This window comes from Homo sapiens, chromosome 4 (assembly GCF_000001405.40).
Source record: "Homo sapiens chromosome 4, GRCh38.p14 Primary Assembly".
Lineage (NCBI taxonomy): Eukaryota > Metazoa > Chordata > Mammalia > Primates > Hominidae > Homo > Homo sapiens.
This window is the reverse complement of record NC_000004.12, coordinates 103940923-103963221: the sequence shown is the minus strand read 5'-3', so window position 1 is coordinate 103963221 and position 22299 is coordinate 103940923. Positions and strand designations below refer to the sequence as shown.

The following is a 22299-nucleotide window of genomic DNA, read 5'->3' as shown; positions in this document are numbered from 1 at the left end:
TTCAGTATTGCTAAGATGTTAGTTCTTTCCAAATTGATATATAGATTCAGTACAATTCCAGTAAAGTCTCAGAAAGTTTTCTTGTGTGTATTAGAAACTGATTCTAAAGTTTATATGAAAAGGCAAAAGACCCAGAATATACAACTAAATACTGGAGAAGGAAAGACAAAGGACTGACACTATCCAACTTCATGACTTATTATAAAGCTGAATTAATCAAGACACTGCGGTGCTGGTTATATATGTATATATATAACCAATTGATCGATGGAACAGAATACAGAACTTAGAAATTGACCCACATAAATATAGTAAACTGATCTTGACAAAGGAGCAAAGGCAATACAATGAAGAGAAGATAGTATTCAATAAATAGTGCTGGAAAAACTGGAAATTCACATTCAAAAATATAGATATAGCCACAGACATGACACCACTCACAAAAATCTCAAAATGAATCCTAGACCTAAATGTGGTATACAAAATTATAAAATTCCTAGAAGATAATAGGACAAAACTTAGATGACCTCAGATATGGTGATGACTTCTTAGATAAAATATCAAAGGTACAAATCATGAAAGAAACAATTAATAAGCTTGGTTTTGTTAAAATTAAAACCTTTTGTTCTGGGAGAGACACTGTCAAGCGAATGAGAAAACAAGCCGTGGATTGGAACAAAATATTTGCAAAAAAAATACAACTGATAAAGAACTGTTATGTAAACAAAGAACTCAAAACTCTACAATAGGAAAATAAACAATCTGAATAAAAATAAGCAAAAGTCCTGAACACACATCTCACTAAAGAAGAAATATAGGTGGCAAATAAGCATATGAAAAGATGGTCATCATCATACATCATTAGGAAATTTCAAATTAAAACAATAATGAGAGAGCACTTAAACAATAGTAAGAGACGTCTATTAGTATTACCAAAATCTAGAACACTGCCAACACAAAATGCTGTTGAGGATGCAGAGCACAGGAACTCTCATTCATTGCTGGTGGAAATGCAAAATGGTACAGTTACCTTTTAAGACAGTTTGGCAGTTTCTTACAAAACTAAACATGCTCTTACCATATGATCCAGGAATCATGCTCCTTAAGATTTACCCAAATGAGTTTAAAACTTATATCCACACAAAAAAAAATCCACACACAATATGTAAAACAACTTTTTGCATAACTGCCCAAACCTGGAAGCAACCAAAATGTCCTTCAGTAGGTAAATGGAAAAATAAACTGGTACATTCGGACAATGGAATGTTAGCACTAAAAACAAAACAAAACAAAAAAAGGTGCTATCAAGCCATTAAAGAAGTCATAGAGAGGAAACTTAAATACATATTACTAAGTGAAAGAAGCAAATTTGAGAAAGCTACATACAGCATTTCAACTACATAACATTCTGAAGCAAAACTATGAAAAAAACGAAGAATGGTTACAAGAAGTTAAATGGGAGAAAGTGTTGAATAAGCAGGATCCAAGGGCTTTTTAAGGCAGTGACTCTATTGTGTATAATACTACAATGGTGAATACCTACCATTATACATTTGTAGAATCCATAGAGTGTACAACATCAGGAGTCTTCCTTAATGTAAACTACGGACTTGGGAAGATTATGATGTGTCAATGTAGGTTCATAGATTGTAACAAATGATGTACCACTGTGAGGTCACAGTGAGAGAGGTTGTGGGTGGGTAGGGACAGGGTATATATAGGAATTCTCTGTACTTTCCACTCAATTTTGCTATAAACCTAAAACTGCCCCCTCAAAAAAAGCTTATTATTTAAAACAATCAACTGCATACATAATCCTTTTAACTTGAAAAGATTAAAATTTTGACTCTAAAAGGTCTGCAAGTAAAGTATGCATTTTCTGTGAGTGCTACATCATATTTTTTATCATCTTTATATATAACATGCTGAATTTTATAAAACAAGTGATATATTAGGCTCAATCCAATATGGTAAACTAAGAGACTCATTATTGAAACATCTGGTGTTTTCTACATGTTTATGAATATCAATGTCTCAAACTGAAGACTTCAATTGTGTCACATTATGAGAATTTCAGGAATTCAGATTTTCCTTGATCACACAATTGACACATTTATAGACTTAATGACTTACAAGACACTATTTTACCAAGTTTTATAAAGTATTTTGAAGCATTAAGATCCATATTGAAAAAATTTTACTGACTCTGATATATCATTTGCTGATAGTACCTTGCCTTCTACCAGTAACTTTCTCTTAAAGGTTATATGCAACTATATGCAACAAAGTTGTCCTTATTTTGTATAGCACATTCCCCAGTTAATTACACAAAAAAGGAGAGGCATGAGGAAAACTGTATTTCTTATAAGTTAAATGATAACTTCTTTGGGGACATATTTTATTTAGTTTTCAGATTTATCATATTGTTACATGCAAATATTTAAACCTCTGAATGCACTTAGCTTATTTTGTTCTAAATTGTACAGAATAGAAATAAAACATAAAATGTAGACATGAAGATTTTAGTTATTATAACAATTTTGCAAGGGAGGGGAGGTGATAATGGTGCCCCATGAAAACTGCTATCAGCACGAAAGAGATTGCTAACTGCCAATCAACCAGTTTCATTGGGTGACTTTAGGTAAATAACTTTTACTTGCTCTATCTGTGCTTTTAATTTTGGAGGACAGATATTTTGGCTTGATCAGCCTCAGGAATGCTGAATGAGTCTAGTTAGACCTAAAACATATTGATATATTAATCAGAATCTCAATGTGTTATTATTATTATTATTATTATTTTTTTTTTTTTTGAGACGGAGTCTCACTCTGTCGCCCAGGCTGGAGTGCAGTGGTGCAATTCTAGTTCACTGCAACTTCGCCTCCCAGGTTCACACCATTCTCCTGCTTCAGTCTCCCGAGTAGCTGGGACTACAGGCGCCCGCCACCAGACACAACTAATTTTTTGTATTTTTAGTAGAGACGGGGTTTCATCGTGTTAGCCACGATGGTCTAGATCTCCTGACCTCGTGATCCACAGGCCTTGGCCTCCCAAAGTGCTGGGATTACAGGCATTAGCTACCGTGCCTGGCTAATTTGTTAATTTTTAAAGAAATACAATCATCAAATGTGTTAGCTATTTTTAAAATTGCTAACACATTTTAAGTTTTTAAGTTTCTTATTTAAGAAAAACTGTGAAAGCCAAATTATTAGATCATTTGATAAGCCAGAAACTAGCCAAAGACAAGTAAATAATGTGATGTTAATGTTTGATGATTTTAGGGTCCAATTGGCTGAATCTGCCACATCCATTGGAGAATATATTATAAAAATATAATAAGACTGAATCTTTCCACAAGCATTTCAGTGTATTTATTCTTACTTTTGGAAAATACTAGGAAAGAATTTGAGAACATATCACCTCCACCAACTCGCCATCTACTTCACCCTGATTGTTTTTTTTTTTCAGTTTTTATTTTAGATATTACATGAGTATATTGCTCATAGATCGTGAACATAGTGCCCAACAGGTAGTTTTTCAACCCACATCCCCCTCCTTCCTCACCCCTAGTATCTGTAGTGTCTGTTGTTCCCATGTTTATGCCCATGTGTGTGCAATGAATAGTTCCCTCTTGTAAGTAAGAACATGCAGTATTTGTTTTTCTCTTCCTGCATTAATTTGCTTAGGATTATGGCCTCTAACTCCATTTAGGTTGCTGCAAAGAGCATGATTTCATTCATTTTCATGGCTTTGTAGTATTCCATGGTGTATATGTACCACATTTTTTTAATCCAATCCACCATTGATGGGCATCTATGTTGATTCCATGTCTTTGCTATTATGAACAGTGCGGCAATGAACATACACGTGCATGTGTCTTTTTGGCATAATGATCTAGTTTCCTTTATGTACGTACCCAGTAATGGGATTACTGGCTCAAATGGAAGCTCTGTTTTAAGTTCTTTGAGAAATCTCCAAACTGCTTTCTACAGTGGCTGAACTAATTAACATCCCACCGACCGTGTGTAAGCATTCCTGTTTCTCCATAGCCTCACCAGCATCTGTTTTTTGATTTTTAAATTTTTTTCCTTTCCAAAAATATGCTTTATTTTTAGAGCAGTTTTAGGTTCACAGCAAAATTAAGAGGAAGGTAGAGAGATTTCCCGTATACCCCTTCCCACGCACACACATAGCCTCCTCCATTATCAACATCCCCCACCACAGTGGTACATTTGTTAAAATCAATGAACCTATATCGACATATCATAATCACCCAAAGCCCATATTTTACATAGGGTTCACACTTGTATTTTCTATGGGTTTTAAAAGATACATAATGGCATGTCTCCAACACCCAACACTACAATATGGTACTGAATAGTTTCAGTGCCCTAAAAACCCTCCGTGCTTGCCTATTCACCACTCTCTCTGATGTAACTATTGACAACCACTGATCTTTTTTACTGTATCCATAGTTTAATGTGAAATAAGCATATGATAAAGAATGGGTTAGCCCTCTTGTCAAACATTTATCATTTGAGTTACAAACTATTCAATTACATTATTTGATTTTAAAATATACCTTTAAGTTATTATTGACTATAGTCACCCTATTGTGCTATCAAATAGTAGGTCTTATTTATTCTATTTTTAGTACACATTAACCATCCCCACCTCCGTCCCCCACCCCCAATACCTCAGTACCCTTCCCAGCCTCTGGTAACCATCCTTCTACTCCGTACAACCATGAATTCAATTGTTTTGATTTTTAGCTCCCACAAATAAGTGAGAACACTTTGTCTTCTCACTTATTGTTTTGTCAATCAGTGAGATGTTTGACAATCATCTCACTGATGTTTGTCTTTTTGTGCCTGGCTTATTTCACTTAACATAATGACCTCCAGTTCCAGCCATGTTGTTGCAAATGACTGGCTCTCATTCCTTTTAATGGCTGAATAGTACTTCATGGTGTATATGTACCACATTTTCTTTATCCATTAATCTGCTGATGGGCACTTGGGTTGCTTCCAAAACATAGCTAGTGTAAACAGCGCTGCAACAAACATAGGAATGCAGATATCTCTTTAATATACTGATTTCCTTTCTTATGGGTATACACCTAGCAGTGAGATTGCTGAATGATATGGTAGCTCAATTTTTAGTTTTTTGAGGAACCTCCAAACTCTTCTCCATAGTAGCTGTTCTAATTTACATTCCCACCAACAGTGTACAAGGGTTCCCTTTTTCTCCACATTCTCACCATCATTCATTATTTCCTGTCTTTTGAATAAAAGCCATTTTAACTGGGGTGAGATGATATCTCATTGTAGTTTTGATTTGCATCTCTCTGATGATAATAATGTTGAGCACATTTTCATATGCCTGTTTACCATTTATATGTCTTCTTTTGAGAAATATCTATCCAAATTTTTGCCTGTCTTTTGATTGGATTATTAGATTTTTTTCCTATAGTTTGTGCTACTTATACATTCTCATTATTAATCCATTCTTAAAGAGTGATATGATTTGGCTGTGTCCCCACCCAAGTCTCATCTTGAATTGTAGCTCCCATAATCACCACATGTCGTATGAGGGACCCAGTGGCAGGTAATTGAATTATGGGGGTGGGTTCTTGTGATAGTGAATAAGTCTCATAAGATCTAAGGTTTTATAGAGGGCAGTTCCCTTGCACGTGCTGTCTTGCATACCACCATATAAGACATGCCTTTGCTCCTCCTTCAGTTTCTGCCATGATTGTGAGGCCTCTCCATCCATATGGAATTGTGAGTCCATTAAAACTCTTTAACTTTGTAAATTACCTAGTCTTGGGTATTTTTTCCTAGCAGTATGAAAATGGACTAACACAGAAGGGTAGTTTGCAAATATTGTCTCTCTTTCTGTGGGTTGTCTCTTCACTTTGTTGATTACATCTTTGCTGTGCATAAGCTTTTTAACTTGATGTGATCCCATTTGTCCATGATCCCATTTTGATTGCCTGTGTTTGTGGGCTATGGCTGAAGAAATTTTTGCTCAGACCAATGTCCTGGAGATTTTCCCCCAGGATTTTCTTGTAGAGAGTTTTATGGTTTGAGGTCATAGATTTAAGTTTTTAATCCTTTATTTAATTTTTTTTTTTTTTTTTTTTTTTTTTGAGACGGAGTCTCACTCTGTCGCCCAGGCTGGAGTGCAGGGGCATGATCTCGGCTCACTGCAAGCTCCGTCTCCCAGGTTCACACCATTCTGTTGCCTCGGCCTTCCAAGTAGCTGGGACTAAAAGTGCCCGCCACCACACCTGGCTCATTTTTTGTATTTTTTTTAGTAGAGATGGGGTTTGACCGTGTTAGCCAGGATATTTAGTTTTTATATATAGTGAGACATAGGGGTCTAGATTCATTCTTTTTCATATGGATATCCAGTTTTCTCAGCACCAGTTAATGAAGAGACTGTCTTTTTTCCAGTCTTGGCATCTTTGTCAAAAATGAGTTCAGTGTAGTTGTGTAGATTTGTTTCTGGGTTCCATATTCTGCTCTGTTGGTCTCTGTGTCTGTTTTTATGACAATACCATGTTGTTTTGTTTACTATAACTCTGTAGTATAATTTGAAGTCAGGTAATATAATTCCTCCAGTTTTGTTCTTTTTGCTTAGGATAGCTTTGGCTATTCTGGGTCTTTTGTGGTTCAATGTGCATTTTATGATTTTTTTCCTATTTATTTGAAGAATATCATTGCTACTTTGATAGGGATTGCCTTTAATCTGTAGATTGCTTGAGTAGTATTGACATTTTAACAATATTGATTATCCCAAGCCATGAACACAAAACATTTATTTTCCATTCATTGGTGTTCTCTTCAATTTCTTTCATCAGTGTTTTATGCTTTTCATTATAGAGATTTTTCACTTATGTGGTTAATTATATGTATTTTGTTGTATGTGTTGCTATTGTAAAAAAGATTACTTTTTTCTTTTTTGCATTATTCACTGTTGGCATATAGAAACATTACTGATTTTTGTGTGTTCCTTTTATACCCAGTTTTGAGGGTTTATCATGAAGGGATGTCAAATTTTATCAAATGCTTTTTCAGCATCAATTGAAATGATCATATGGTTTTATTCCTCATTCTGTTGATATGATGTATCACATGATTGATTTGCATATGTAGAATCATTCTTGAATCCCAGAGATAAATCCCACTTGATCATGATGAATGATCTTTTAATATATTGTTGAATTCAGTTTGCTAATATTTGGTTGAGGATTTTTGCATCAATACTCATCAGAGACATTGGCCTGTGTTGTTTTTTTTTTTTGGTTTTTTTTTTTTTGATATGTCTTTTTCTGGTTTTGGTATCAGGGTAATACTGGCCTCATAGAATGAGTTTGGAAGTATTCCCTCCTGCTGTATATTTTGGAATAGTTTGAATAGGATAGTATTATTTCTTTAAAAGTTTGGTAGAATTCATCAGTAAAGCTATTGGGTCCTGGGCTCTTCTTTACTGGGAGACGTCAATCTCATTACTTGTTGGTCTACTTAAGTTTTAGATTTCTTCTTGATTCAATCTTGGTAGTTTGTATATATGTAAGAATTTGTCCATTTCTTTCAGCTTTTCCAGCTTATTGGCATATATGCTCATAGTTTCCATGGATGATCCTTCAAATTTCTGCAATATTAGTTGTAATGTCTCCTTTTCAATTTCTGATTTTATTTATTTGGATTCTATCTCTTTTTCTTAGTCTGGCTAAAGTTTTGTTTAACTTTTGTTAAATTTTGTTTAACTTTTCAAAAAACCAACTTTTTGTTTCATTGATCTTCTGTATTGCTTTTTTCATTTCAATTTCATTTATTTCTTCTCTGATTTTTATTATTTCTTTTTTTCTACTAATTTGGGGTTTGTTTGCTCTTGCTTTTCTAATTAAGATGCACCATTAGATTGTTTATTTGAAGTTTTTTTCTCTTTTTTGACGTAGGCACTTATGGCTATAAACTTCCCTATGAGTATTGCTTTTGCTATATTGTATAGGTTTTGGTATAGTGTGTTTCCATTATCATTTGTTTCAAGAAATTTTTCAATTTCCTTCTCAATTCTTAATTGACCAACTAGTCATTCAGGAGCATATTGTTTGTTTAATTTCCTGTATTTGTATAGTTTCCAAAATTCCTCTTCTTAGTAATTTCTATTATTCCATTGTGATCAGAAAAGATGCTGATATTATTTCAGTTTTTTGGAATGAAGACTTGTTTTGTGACATAACATATGGTCTATCCTTGAGAATAATCCATATGCTGAGGAAAACAATATGTATTCTGTAACTCTTTAATGAAATTTTCTGTAATATAGACTAGATCCATTTGGTCTATAGTGCAGATTAAGTTTGATGTCACTTTTTTGACTTTCTATCTGGAAGCACTATACAATGCTGAAGGTGGGGTGCTGAAGCCTCCAGCTATTATTGTATTGGGACCTGTCTCTCTTTTTAGCTCTAATAATATTTGCTTTATATATCTGGGTGCTCCAGTGTTGGGTGAATATACATTTAAAATTGTTATATCCTCTTGCTGAATTGATCCCTTTATCATTACATGGTGACCATCTTTGTCCCTTCTTATACCTTTTGTTTTGAAGTCTACTTTGTCTAAGCATAGCTACTCCTGCTTTTTTTATGGTCTCCATTGACATGATATGTTTTTTCCATCCCATTATTTTCAGTCTGTGTGTGTATTTGTAGGTGAAGTGTGTTTCTCATAGACACCAGAACATTGGATCATGATTTCTTTTTCTTTTCTTTTTTCTTTCTTTCTTTTTATATTTTATTTATTTATTTATTTATTTATTTTTTAGGGAGACAGTGTTTCACCATATTTGCCAGGCTGGTCTCAAACTCCTGGCCTCAGGTGACCCACCTGTCTTGCCAAAGCCTGGCCTAATTTTTTAAAATCTATTTAGCAACTCTGTGTCTTTTGATTGGAGAGTTTACTCCACTTACATTCAATGTTATTATTAATAGGTAAGGACTTTACTCCTGTCATTTTGTTGTTTTCTGGTTGCTTTGTGGTCTTCTTTTCCTTATTTCCTTCATTCCTGTCTTCCTATAATCTTCATGTTTATATTCTCAGGTGATATGATTAATTTCTTTCTTCTTATTTTTGTGTATCCATTTTATGTTTTTTGGGCTTGGAGTTACTATAAGGCTTGCAAATACTGTCAAATAACCTATTATTTTAACCTGATAACAGCTTAACACTATTTGCATAAACAAATAATCCAAAAGAAAACTAACAAAAATTCTATACCATAACTTCATCCCCATGCTTTTTATCTTTTTTAAAATTTCTATCTTATTATATTGACTATGTCTTAAAAATTTCTTGTAGTTATTATTTTTATTAGTTCATTGTTTTTCTAATTAGGATAAGAATAATTTACACACTTCAGTTACAGTTGTGAATGGAGAAAAACTGAGACAGGTCTCAGTTAATTTAGAAAGTTTATTTTACCAACGTTGAGGACACACCCATGATACAGCCTCAGGAAATCCTGATGACATGTGCCTAAGGTGGTCAGGGCACAGCTTGGTTTTATACATTTTAGGGAAACATGAGGCATCAATCAATATATGTAAGAAGTACATTGGTTCAGTCTCAAAAGGTAGGACAAATTGAAGCACAGGCAGGAAGACTGGAGGCAGAGAGGGAGCTTTCAAGTCGCAGATAGGTAATACACAAAGAGTTACATTCCTTTGAGTTTCTGATGAGCATTTCCAAAGAAGGCAATGAGATATGCATCTATCTCAGTGAGCAGAGGGGTGACTTTGAATAGAATAAGAGGCAGGTTTGCCCTAAGCAGTTTCTAGCTTGAGTTTTCCTTAGTGATTTTGGGGGCCCAAGATGTTTTTCTTTCACATTTCTCCCCCTTTCTTTTTAAAAATCTTTTGGAAGAACATTTTATGGGAAAATGAATCTCTGGTCTCAGATTTCATCTGATTTCTCATGACTAGGATGATTTATTTCTACATGGGTAGGTCCCAAAAGCTCATTTTTACCAGGTTGTGAAGTCTCATGTCCTGTGAAGATAAAATGGGGGTGGGGGAGGAAGAAAGAAAAAACAACAACAAACGAAAGAACAATCCTGAAAATATCAATATAGACCACATTACTCTGAAGTCCGTACATTAGTCCACAGGTATGAAAGTGGCTTATGTATGTACATAGGTTGCTGTTATTTTCTCCTGGCGTTTAAGTTGTCTGGCTTCAGTTTGCAGGGATTTAAGAAAGCACAGCTTGGTTTTCAGTGCCTCCAAATTAGAAAAAATGGGAAAAAAAGAAGAAAAGGTAATTGAAAACATGATTTTGAAGATTTGTAGCCAAGAAAACTTAGAATTTGTTCCAAACTGTAGAAAATAATAAAAATTGAAAAAACATTAGGCAAGACTATAATCTAACAACAGGTTTACAGTAGTTTTGAAACATAATTTTTTTCTCTCCCCATTTTCCCCTTTTTACTAAATTCAAATCATGCTAGGACTAGTTTGCTTTAATATACTTGGCCTAATTATTTGTATACAGTTCAGCAAGAGTAATTATTTTTACATGGGTTTTAAATTGGCTTTAATGGAACTTTGCTCCATGGGAGGATAAAACTTTTTTAAAGCCGAACCCAGCCATGGATTTGTGCCATCAAATACCTATGAGCTGGGTGAATTTCCTCTCCTCTTGAGGTTCTAAGATAAACCTGGGGCTACTGTGCCTGTCAGAAAGTGGCATTCTTTACTTACCACAGGTCAGAAAACCTGTACAGGGACTGTGTACACAAAATAGGAGGTCAGTTTTTCCAAGGGTTTTATTGGCTCTGTAAGTAAAGTTTGATTGCTTAAAAGTCAAGTTTGATTCCTTAAAGGAAAGCACAACATTCCAGTCAAAGCCTTGGTCAAATAAACAGTCTCCAATTGTGTCTTATTGGAAAAGAAAACAGATTCTTATTGCACTTATGCAAAAAACTGTATTGCTCTAAATTAAGAATACTCACAAATAGTTTTGAAATTCTGGAGAAATGAGGCAGAGATTTTTGTTCAAAATTTTGCTCCAAATTTTGTTCAAAGGAGCATACTTTACTCAATTGTTAAGAGCTGTAAATAGCTTAAAAGAAAAGTTTTCTTAACTCTGAAAAACAAAACAAAATATCAACAACATTTTAAGCAAAAGGTAAAAAAGATAACTTAGGTTTTCTGTTGGTTCAATTAATTCAGTTAACTCCTGTTCTGTTTGATAGTCATGAACATTTCAGCTCTCCATTACAGTTCTGAAATTTTTCCCTTTATTTCAATGTCACAATTTTCAAAGTTATCAGAAAATCTGCATTTAAGTGCACTTGTTAGAGTTTTATATCTGATTGTAAACCTTTTAAAGAGGGTTAAAAACAAGACAAAATAAGACAATTGTCTATTGATGAATAAAAGAAGTTTTAAGGAAGCCATAGTTAAAAGACACAACTGACAAGAATATTTGTTACCTCTGTGGCACACAATAATTTTAACATGAAAATGATTATTGTTACTGATAATGTACTCTAAGTTATATCAAAATTACAGGAGTTTCCCATAATTTTGGAACACATACCAATAACATATTTATACAAATACAGTGCAAAGAAAACCAAACATCATTTCATAATTGACAATGCTTCCTGTATAATTTTTATACCAAATAAGCCAAGGTATGTCATTTTTGGGCTTTAAGGAACCCAATGTCTTAAAGGATTACTTAGGTTAGAAATAGACATAATTTATAATATGATTTTGGAAAGTGTTGGGAGCAGGCCTCCAAAATCTGGCCATAAACTGGCCCCAAAACTGGGCATAAACAAAATCTCTGCAGCACTGTAACATGTTCATAATGGCCCTAACAGCCACACCGGAAGTTTGTGGGTTTATGGGAATGAGGGCAAGGAACACCTGGCCCACCCAGGGTGGAAAACTGCTTAAAGACATTCTTAAGCCACAAACAATAGCATGAGTGATCTGTGCCTTAAGGACATACTCCTGCTGCAGTTAACTAGCCCAACCTTTTCCTTTAATTCTGCCCATCCCTTCATTTCCCATAAGGGATACTTTTAGTTAATTTAATATCTATAGAAACAATGCTAATGACTGGTTTGCTGTTAATAAATATGTGGGTAAATCTCTGTTCAGGGCTCTCAGCTCTGAAGGCTGTGAGACCCCTGATTTCCCACTTCACACCTCTATATTTCTGTGTGTGTCTTTAATTCCTCTAATGCCACTGGGTTAGGGTCTCCCCAACCGAGCTGGTCTTGGCAGGAAAGTTTGTCAAATATAAAAGTTTTAAAACACTTGATATTACAAAATAGGATTACAGGTTATTTTAAAGTCATTTATTTAACCAAAGTGATAATTCAAGGATTTCAAAAAAAGTGAAAACCTGTATTATTTGAGAGAGGAGACTTAATTTTCTAAATGAGTAGCCCTAATAAAAACAACATGAAGCCAATTACATTTTTTTCAAAATTTGGTATACAATTTATAAAATTTAATCTTGATTATAAAATATAACTTCCATAAGACTTTTAAAACCTTTATAACCTCTATTAAGGAGTTGGCTAATGTCTCAAGAAAACCTTGGTAATCTGACACAGGGGTCCATATACTGGTTTTGGATTAGTGTGCCTTTGACATTAGTAATTATAGAGAAACTGAACTTACTTTATCTTTCAAATTTGGCCCTTAAAATCTAAAATGCCCACCTCTTCCATGATAGTCTCTGGACTTTGAGGAACTGAATAGCTTTAATTTCTTGCCGTGTGTCTCAGGAATGCAGTTTATTTTGATTGGCATCTTCTACTGGGCCTGAAGATGAGGCTTTAATTGCTGTCAGTGTTTAAGATTTAGCAGGATTTGGTATCCTTTTTAGACCCAGGATTTAAAAGCCCTGTAACTCAATGTAACAAGGATTTTAGAAGCATATATAGGAAGATACATGGATGTAATAACCTTAATTTTTTAAAAAATCTCAAGTTTCTTTTTCCTAAGCAAACTAAAAATAATAATATGACAACTTGATTATATAAAAATTTTTGGGTTTTTTAAATACATGAATCCTCTTACTGTGACTTCCATTGACTGTTCATGTCAGGGTAAGACTTTCTGATTTGTTCTGAATATCCTTCCTTTTTAAACAACCAGTTATTTTATTTTAGGACTAAACTTACATACAAGATTCTTTCTCATATAACGTTATTTCTCTTTAAAGTTTTTTACCTCAAAAAATAATCCTCTTTATTTTTATAACTTTCTTTGCATCTTTTTTTAAATTTCCTGGTTCCCTTTACCTTGTTTTATATATAACCTTTAAATAAGCTTTGAATTAGACAAAATTTCTTCACCTTCTTTTTTAAATAAAGTCACTTATATGGCTGGATGCGGTGGCTCATGCCTGTAATCCCAGCACTATGGGAGGCCACGGCGGGTGGATCACGAGGTCAGGAGATCGAGACCATCCTGGCTAACATGGTGAAACCCCGTCTCTACTAAAAAATACAAAAAATTAGCCAGGCGTGGTGGCAGGTGCCTGTAGCCCCAGCTACTCAGGAGGCTGAGGCAGGAGAATGGCGTGAACCTGGGAGGTGGAGCTTGCAGTGAGCTTAGATTGCACCACTGCACTCCAGGCTGGGTGACATCACGAGCAAGACTCCGTCTCAAAAAAAAAAAAAAAAAAAAAAAAAAAAAAAAAAAAAAAAAAAAACACTTATTTTTAGCAAGAATGTTTTTCTAAAAAATACATTTATTAGAAAATACCCAAATACCCAAATAAGGGAATATCTATTATTTAATTTAATATAACTTTATATTCTAAATTATGATCAGTTTGTATACAAGTACTTATCCCATTACATTTACTTAATTATTTAATTTTGTTTACCTAGATTATTTATCAAAACTGTGATAGTCATGATTTAAAGTTATGAAAACACCATTGCAAAATTATAACTAAGACAGTGAAAAAATGATTTGACCTAACTGGCACCATCTTCCTCATAACCTTTAAGCTGTCCTTTTTCATTCCTGAGTATAGGCTGAACTAACTTTGGAAGGGAATTCAGTTTATGGTTTTGACTCTGAAACAAAATTGATTACAGCCCTTTCCTGAAAAGACCCCCTTCTTGCCTGGGTACCAGTCTGCCTTTGCAGGATCAACAAATTAGCTACAAAATTAGAAATTACAGTTTAGGGGTCATGCAGCCTCTGGCAACAAAAGTCCAAACCTCCCAAAATTTCTCCTGGTGGTAACATCACTTCTGTAAAGCCTAAGATCAGTGCTTGGAATATGTTGCATATCCTGTACTTGATGGATCAGCTGACACCACCCAGGCCAGTAATCTGGCCCAACCAGTTCTGCCATTGCACCCAGGAAGAGAAGACAGCAAGAAAACCTCACTTTGCCCCGCTGTGATTCCATCTCCTGACCAATCAGCACTCCCCACTTCCCAAGCCCCTACCTACCAAATTATCTTTAAAAACTGATTTTGGAATGCTAGGAGAGACCAATTTGAGTAAAAATAAAACTCCAGTCTCCTGCATAGCCTGCTGTGCATAAATTACATTTTCTCCATTGCAATTCCCCTGTCTTGATAAATGGGTTCTGTTTAGGTAGCGGGTAAAGTAAACCCATTGAGCAATTACAGTACATATCATAGATTTATAAAGACCCTCTCCTACTTTTTTTCCACTTTGACTTTCAGATTCTCGATAAACTGTTTCACAACCCTAGGCAATTGTCAGCTAAATAGCCTTAAATTTGCACATTAAAGGAAGAAACTCAGGTGAAAATCAAATAGCAAAATTTACATCATAAAATACAGAAAGAAAAGGTCTGGTGGTGCTAGAGGGAGACACTTTTATTTTTCTTTGAGTCAAATTAAACTACACTACTCCTTAAAACCCCAAGAGTAGTCTCTGTTGCAATAACTATTTTAGAAAAAAAAAAATCAATTGAAAACGGAATTCAGTCAACTGAGAAGAAATAGAAAAAAAAAAACTTTTGCTCAAAAAAAGACAAGGTCTTAGGAGAGGAAAAACAAAAACAAAAACATGAAGGCCTTTCAAATACAAGCACACATGCACACATATACACACATATCTTGAATGTTAGCCTTCTAATTTAGCTGACTTTTAACTATTTAGCTCCTTTAAAAATTTTTTAAAAATTTTATTACCATATTTCAGCTAAGACAAAATGCTGCTAAACTAACAATGATCACACAAATATTTCTGCGCACTCTAAGTGTAAGCAGAAATTAACACCAGTTGATTGTTAAATGCTAACTTTAGTCACCTGAAAGGAATTTGCAAAACAAGAATCCCAAACCAGTTTCTTTACCTAGTGGGTCTCAGGCTGTAGACTACTCTCTACCATCCTAGAAGCAGGAAAACAAACAAACAAAACAAAACAAAAAAACCAAAAACTGATCTTCCCTGTTGGAAGTGAGCTCAGACTCCTAAGGGAGTTACCTGCCTTCTATCCTCATGGAAGCAGGAAAACTTGCCTTCCTGTTGGAAGCAAGTAAAACTCAAAAACAGGATGAGTTGTATAGAAAAATAAACTTTACATCTCGACCAAATTTTGGAAGATCAGGGATTTCTGGAGGGGGTGCTTTCAGACATCAGCAAATTGTCCTGTTGGTTTGAGCCATAAAATTATTTCATGCTAGTACAAAATGCCAATAGGAGACGTGTTAAAGGTCAGGGGCACCTCCACTCAGAATCCCCCCGTGGTTACCAAAATGTGAATGCAGAAAATCTGAGACAGGTCTCCGTTAATTTAGAAAGCTTATTTTGCCAAGGTTGAGGACTCACCTGTGACACAGCCTCAGGAAGTCCTACCAACATGTGTCCAAGGTGGTCAGGGCACAGCTTGGTTTTATATATTTTAAGGAGACATGAGACATCAATCAGTGTATGTAAGAAGTACATTGGTTTGGTCTGGAAAGGTGGGACAACTTGAAGCAAAGTCAGGAAGACTGCAAGTGGGGAGGGAGCTTCCAGGTCACAGACAGGTGATATACAAAGGGTTACATTCTTTTGAGTTTCTGATGAGCATTTCCAAAGGAGACAATCATATATGCCTCTATCTCAGTGAGCAGAGGGGTGACTTTGAATAGAATGGGAGGCAGGTTTGTTTTACTTGCGTCCCTGTGAAGAGACCACCAAACAGGCTTGTGTGAGCAACAAGGCTGTTTATTTCACCTGGGGGCAGGCAGGCTGAGTCCGAAAAGAGTCAGCCAAGGGAGATAGGGGTGGGGCTGTTTTACAGGATTTGGGTAGGTAAAGGAAAATTACAGTCAAAGGGTGGTTGTTCTCTGGAGGGCAGGAGTGGGGGTTACAAGGTGCTCAGTGGGGGAGCTTTTTGAGCCAGGAGAAGGAATTTCACAAGGTAATGTCATCAGTTAAGGCAAGGACTGGCCATTTTCACTTCTTTTGTGGTGGAATGTCCTCAGTTAAGGCAGGAACAGACCATTTAAATATCACTTCTTTTGTGATTCTTCAGTTACTTCAGGCCATCTGGATGTATACATGCAGGGGGATGCGATGGCTTAGCTTGGGCTCAGAGGCCTGACATTACGGCCTTCTTATATTAATAAGAAAAATAACATAAAATAGTATTGAAGTGTTGGGGCAGTGAGAAAAATTTTTTGGGGGGTGGCATGGAGAGATAATGGGCGATGCTTCTCGGGGCTGCTTCGAGCGGGATTAGGGGCGGTGTGGGAACCTAGAGTGGGAGAGATTAAGCTGAAGGAAGATTCTGTGGTAAGGGGTGATATTGTGGGATTGTTAGAAGAAACATTTGTCATGTAGAATTATTGGTGATGGACTGGATATGGTTTTGTATGAATTGAAAAACTAAATGGAATAAGAGAAGGAGAAAAACAAGTATTAAAGGACTAAGAATTGGGAGGACCCAGGACACCTAATTAGAGAGTGCCTAAGGAGGTTCAGCATAGCCTTGCCAGCAAAGATTATTTATTTACTTTAAGAGTTAAGAGTGGCGGTTTGGGAATAGCACCAGGAGATATCAGCTGTGATGTCTTGGAGAAACAGCGTAAACCAGCAGTGTAAACAAGAGCAGGGCATTTATGAGTAGTTGAGAACAGTGAATAGGAGTATGACTAGACAGAAGATAGTAGGGATGACAAGTTTTCTGGGGCACAGTCCAAGTTGGTCTGGTGTCTGGAATGAGACTGGGGCCTAATAAAAAGGAGCATCTATTCAGGAGCTTATATGGGCTGTACCTTGTAGCATTCCAAGGACAGGCCTGAATTCTGAGAAAGGCAAGTGGTAAAAATATTGTCCAGTCCTTTGTAAGTTGGTGGCTGAGCTTGGTGAGGTGTGTTTTTAAAAGACCATTAGTTCACTGAATACTAAGAGCCTGAGAAATTGCTTGGATGATTTGACTAATAAAGGCTGGTCCGCTACAGGACTGTATAGAGGTGGGAAGGCCAAACCGAGGAATTATGTCTGACAGAAGGGAAGAAATGACCATGGTGGCCTTCTTAGACCCTGTGGGAAAGGCCTCTACCTATCCAGTGAAAGTGTCTACCCAGACCAAGAGGTATTTTAGTTTCCTGACTCAGGCATGTTGAGTAAAGCCAATTTGCCAGTCCTGGGCAGGGGCAAATCCCCGAGTTTGATGTGTAGGGAAGGGAGGGGGCCTGAATAATCCCTGAGAAGTAGTAGAACAGCAGATGGAACACTAAGTTATTTCCTTGAAGATAGATTTCCATGATGGAAAGGAAATGAGAGGTTCTAAGAGGTGGGCTAGTGGCTTGTACTATAGCATAGCCTGCCTTTTCTGGTGTGTGGCAATTAGGCCTTGTGGAACTGACATCAATAAACCAGTGTGATCAGGGTGAGGAACAGGAAAGAAGGAAATATGGGGAAATGGGGTGAATATCAGGTAGATCAGAGAGATACAGTCATGGGGGTCAGGTGTGGTATCAGGAATAATGTGGGAGGCCAGATTGAAGTCCAGGCCAGGAACAAAGGTAATTGTGGGAGACTCAACAAAGAGTGAGTACAGCTGAAGGAGCTGGGAAGCAGAAGGTATATGTGTCAGGTGTGAGGAAGAAAATAGATTTTGGAAGTTATGAGAACTGTAGAGAGTGAGTTGAGCATAGTTTGTGATTTTAAGGGCCTCTGAAAGCATTAGGGTGGTGGCGGCCGCTGCATGCAGACTTGAAGGCTAGGCAAAACAGTAAGGTCAAGTTGTTTGGATAAAAAGGCTACAGGGCACGGTCCTGGTTCTTGTGTAAGAATTCCTACTGCACAGCCCTGCACTTCAGCTGTGGGTAATGAAAAGGGTTGGGATGAGTCTGGGAGAGCTAGGGTGGGGGCAGTCTCTAAAGCTGTCTTCAAGGAACGGAAAACGAGTGGGAAAAGGATGTAGGATCTATGGGGTCAGTTAGGTTTCCTTTTGTGAGTTTATATAATGGTTTTGTTAGGATGGCAAAACCATGTATCTAAAGTCAAAAGTATCCAACCATGCCTAGGAAGGAAAGGAGTTGTTGTTTTGTAGAAGGTGTTGGGGTTTGAGAGATCAGTCGGACATGATCGGCAGGGAGAGCATGTGTGTTTTTATGAGGATTACACTGAGATAGGTAACAGATGAGGAAGAAATTTGGGCTTGACTGAAGTAATGGGGGCTGTCTGTGAAGCCTTGTGGCAATACAGCCCAGGTAATTTGCTGAGCCTGATGGGTGTCAGGGTCAGTCCAACTGAAAGTGAAGAGAGGCTGGGATGAAGGGTGCAAAGGAATAGTAAAGAAAGAATGTTTGAGATCCAGAACAGAATAATGGGTTGTGGAGGGAGGTATTAAGAATAGGAGAGTATATGGGTTTGGCACCACGGGGTCGATAGGCAAAATAATTTGGTTGATAAGGTGCAGATCTTGAACTAACCTGTAAGCCTTGTCTGGTTTTAGGACAGGTAAAATGGGGGAATTGTAAGGAGAGTTTATAGGCTTTAAAAGGCCATGCTGTAACAGGCCAATGATAACAGGCTTTAATCCTTTTAAAGCGTGCTGTGGGATGGGATATTGGCATTGAGCAGGGTAAGGGTGATTAGGTTTTAATGGGATGGTAAGGGGTGCATGATCAGTTGCTAAGGAGGGAGTAGAGGTGTCTTATACTTGTGGGCTAAGGTGAGGAGATACAAGGGGAGGATGTGAAGGAGGCTTTGAACTGGGGGAAAAGGCAGCAATGAGGTATGGCTGTAGCCTAGGAATAGTCAGGGAAGTAGATAATTTAGTTAAAGTGTCTCAGCCTAATAAGGGAACTGGGCAGGTGGGGATAATGAAAAGCAGTTCTTAAAAGAGTATTGTCTAAGTTGGCACCAGAGTTGGGGAGTTTTTAGAGGTTTAGGAGCCTGGCTGTCAGTACTTACAACAGTTATGGAGGCAAGGGAAACAGGCCGTTGAAAAGAAGGTAATGTGGAGTGGGTAGCCTCCATATTGATTAAGAAGGGGACAGACTTACCTTCCACCGAGAGAGTTACCTAGAGCGTCTGTGATGGTCCTGCAGGCTTCCGAGGTGATCGGGCGGTATCAGTCTTCAGCTGCTAAGCCGAGAAGATCTGGGAAGGAGTCAGTCAGAGAGCCTTGGGCCAGAGTTCCAGGGCCTCTGGGAGTGGCTTCTGGGTAAGTTGGACAGTCCAATTTCCAGTGGGGTCCCGTACAGATGGGACATGGCTTAGGAGGAATCCCAGGCTTTGGGCATTCCTTGGCCTGGTGGACAGATTTCTGGCACTTGTAGCAAGCTCCTGGGGGAGGCGGGCCTGGAAGAACGCCTGGCCACTGTGGTTTAGGCGTTTGGAAGTTCTTCTGTGCTGGAGATGTGGCTGGGGTTTGTCTCACAGTGGAGGCAAGGAATTGCAACTCAGAAATATGTTGCTACTTGGCTGTCTCTATTCTATTATTATACACCTTGAAGGTGAGGTTAATTAAGTCCTGTTGTGGGGTTTGAGGGCCGGAATTTATTTTTTGGAGTTTTATTTAATGTTGGGAGTGGATTGGGTAATAAAATGCATATTAAGAATAAGTTGGCCTTTTGACCTTTTAGGGTCTAGGGCTGTAAAGCATCTCAGGGTTGCTGCCAAACAAGCCATGAACTGGGCTGGGTTTTTATATTTGATGAAAAAGAGCCTAAACGCTATCTGATTTGGGATAAAGAAAAAGGAGCATTAACCTTGACTATGCCTTTAGCTCCAGCCACCTTTTTAAGAGGAAATTGCTGGGCAGGTGGGGAAGGGCTACACATGGAATGAAAGTGTAAGCCAGACTGGGTGTGAGGAGGGGAGGTGATAAAAAGATTATAGGGTGGAGGAGTGGAGGCTGAGGAAGAATTTGGACCTAGCTCAGCCTGGCTAGGAGGGGAGAGGTTAGATGGGTCTGTAGAAAAGGAAGATTAGACTCAGTGACACTTGGGGTTGGGACTGAGGGGACAGGCGGGAGGGAAAGAGGGAAGATGTGGGATGAGTTGCATTGGGAACAGAGACTAGGGAGGGACTGATGTGTAAAAGAATGCCTGGACGTCAGGCACCTCAGACCATTTGCCCATTTTACAACAAGAATTATTTAGATCTTGTAGGGTGGAAAAATTGAAAGTGCCATTTTCTGGCTATTTGGAACCACTGTCGAGTTTGTATGGGGGCAAGTGCCATTGCAGAAGAAAATAAGGCATTTAGGTTTTAGGTCAGGTGTGAGTTGAAGAGGTTTTAGGTTTTTAAGAACACAGGCTAAGGGAGAAGAAGGGGGAATGGAGGGCGGAAGCTTGCCTATAGTGAAGGAGGCAAGCCCAGAGAAAAGAGACAGTAGAGACATGAAGAGAAGGGGTGGGGGGGTTCTTGCCCCCTAGAAAAGCAGAGAAGGGATAGAGACATGGAGAGAAGTGGTCGGGGGGTTCTTACCTTCCAGAAAAGTGGAGAAGGGGTAGAGACATGGAGAGAAGGGGTCGGGGGGTTCTTGTCCCCCAGAAAAGTGATACTTGCCACTAAGGGTGAAGGACCAAGGCAGGCATCCCTGTGTGGTCAGACACCTCTGAAATGTGGGTGAATAATCAGGCAGGCATCCCTGTGTGATTAAATACCAAGGGAAGACTGTCATCCCAAGTCCCTGACCGGCGCTGGAGTTTTGGGTCCACAGATAAAATGCATCTCCTGTCTCTATGAGAACAGGAAAGGAACTGAAATTAAGAGAAGGGAGAGATTGAAGTGTGGCGCCAAGATTGAAAGGAGAAAGAGGTTGAGGGATAGTGAGAGAGGTTGGAGGAGAGTGTAAAAAGAGGCCGCTTACCTGATTTAAAATTGGTGTGATGTTCCTTGGGCTGGTCGGTCTGAGGACCTGAGGTCATAGGTGGATCTTTCTCACAGAGCAAAGAGCAGGAGGACAGGGGATTAATCTCCCAAGTGAGGTCCCCCGATCCGAGTCATGGCACCAAAATTTCACTAGTGTCCTTGGGAAGAGACCACCAAACAGGCTTGTGTGAGCAACAAGGCTGTTTATTTCACTTGGGGGCAGGCGGACTGAGTCTGAAAAGAGAGTCAGCAAAGGGAGATAGGGGTGGGGCCATTTTACAGGATTTGGGTAGGTAAAGGAAAATTAGAGTCAAAGGGGGTTTTTCTCTGGTGGGCAGGACTAGGAGTCACAAGGTGCTCAGTGGGAAAGCTTTTTGAGCCAGGATGAGCCAGGAGAAGGAATTTCACAAGGTAATGTCATCAGTTAAGGCAAGGACCAGCCATTTTCACTTCTTTTGTGGTAGAATGTCATCAGTTAAGGCAGGAACAGACCATTTAAATATCACTTCTTTTGTGATTCTTCAGTTACTTCAGGCCATCTGAATGTATACGTGCAGGTCACAGGGGATGAGATGGCTTAGCTTGGACTCAGAGGCCTGACAGTTTGGCCTAAGCAGTTTCCAGCTTGGGTTTTCTTTAGTTATTTTGGGAACCCAAGGTATTTTCCTTCCACACAGTGTTATATTATTCTATGTTTTTCTGTGTGCTTACTATTACCAGTGAGTTTTGTACCTTAAGTTGCTTATTTATTGCTTATTAATGTCATTTTCTTTCTAATTGAGGTACCCTTTTAGTATTTCTTGTAGGACAGGTCTGGTATTGATGAAGTCCCTTAGCTTTTGTTTGCCTCAGAAAGTCTTTACTTATCCTTCTTGTTTGAAGTATATTTTTACTGGATATACTATTCTAGGGTAAAAGTTTTTATGCTTCAGCACTTTAAGTATGTC

At 37.8% G+C, this 22299-nt stretch overlaps 1 long non-coding RNA gene across 3 annotated transcripts in view, besides 3 other annotated features; it reads right to left on the bottom strand.

Annotated features, from left to right (window-relative positions):
* LINC02503 (long intergenic non-protein coding RNA 2503) overlaps positions 1 to 1612 on the bottom strand; it is a 75942-nt gene extending 74330 nt beyond the window's left edge. For all 3 annotated transcript variants that reach the window (NR_186772.1, NR_186770.1, NR_186771.1), the window contains exon 1: positions 1544 to 1612. This is a non-coding gene — a long non-coding RNA (long intergenic non-protein coding RNA 2503). The remainder of the gene's footprint in view (positions 1 to 1543) is intronic.
* Positions 14441 to 15064: an enhancer, noted in NCBI's record as "OCT4-NANOG-H3K27ac hESC enhancer chr4:104869315-104869938 (GRCh37/hg19 assembly coordinates)". NCBI's record gives its function as "activates a minimal SCP1, AML or CMV promoter by ChIP-STARR-seq in primed H9 embryonic stem cells {active_cell/tissue: H9 hESC(primed)}" and the evidence as "EXISTENCE:reporter gene assay evidence [ECO:0000049][PMID:30033119]".
* Positions 15094 to 15976: an enhancer, noted in NCBI's record as "NANOG-H3K27ac hESC enhancer chr4:104868403-104869285 (GRCh37/hg19 assembly coordinates)". NCBI's record gives its function as "activates a minimal SCP1, AML or CMV promoter by ChIP-STARR-seq in naive H9 embryonic stem cells {active_cell/tissue: H9 hESC(naive)}" and the evidence as "EXISTENCE:reporter gene assay evidence [ECO:0000049][PMID:30033119]".
* Positions 15977 to 16861: an enhancer, noted in NCBI's record as "OCT4-NANOG-H3K27ac hESC enhancer chr4:104867518-104868402 (GRCh37/hg19 assembly coordinates)". NCBI's record gives its function as "activates a minimal SCP1, AML or CMV promoter by ChIP-STARR-seq in naive H9 embryonic stem cells {active_cell/tissue: H9 hESC(naive)}" and the evidence as "EXISTENCE:reporter gene assay evidence [ECO:0000049][PMID:30033119]".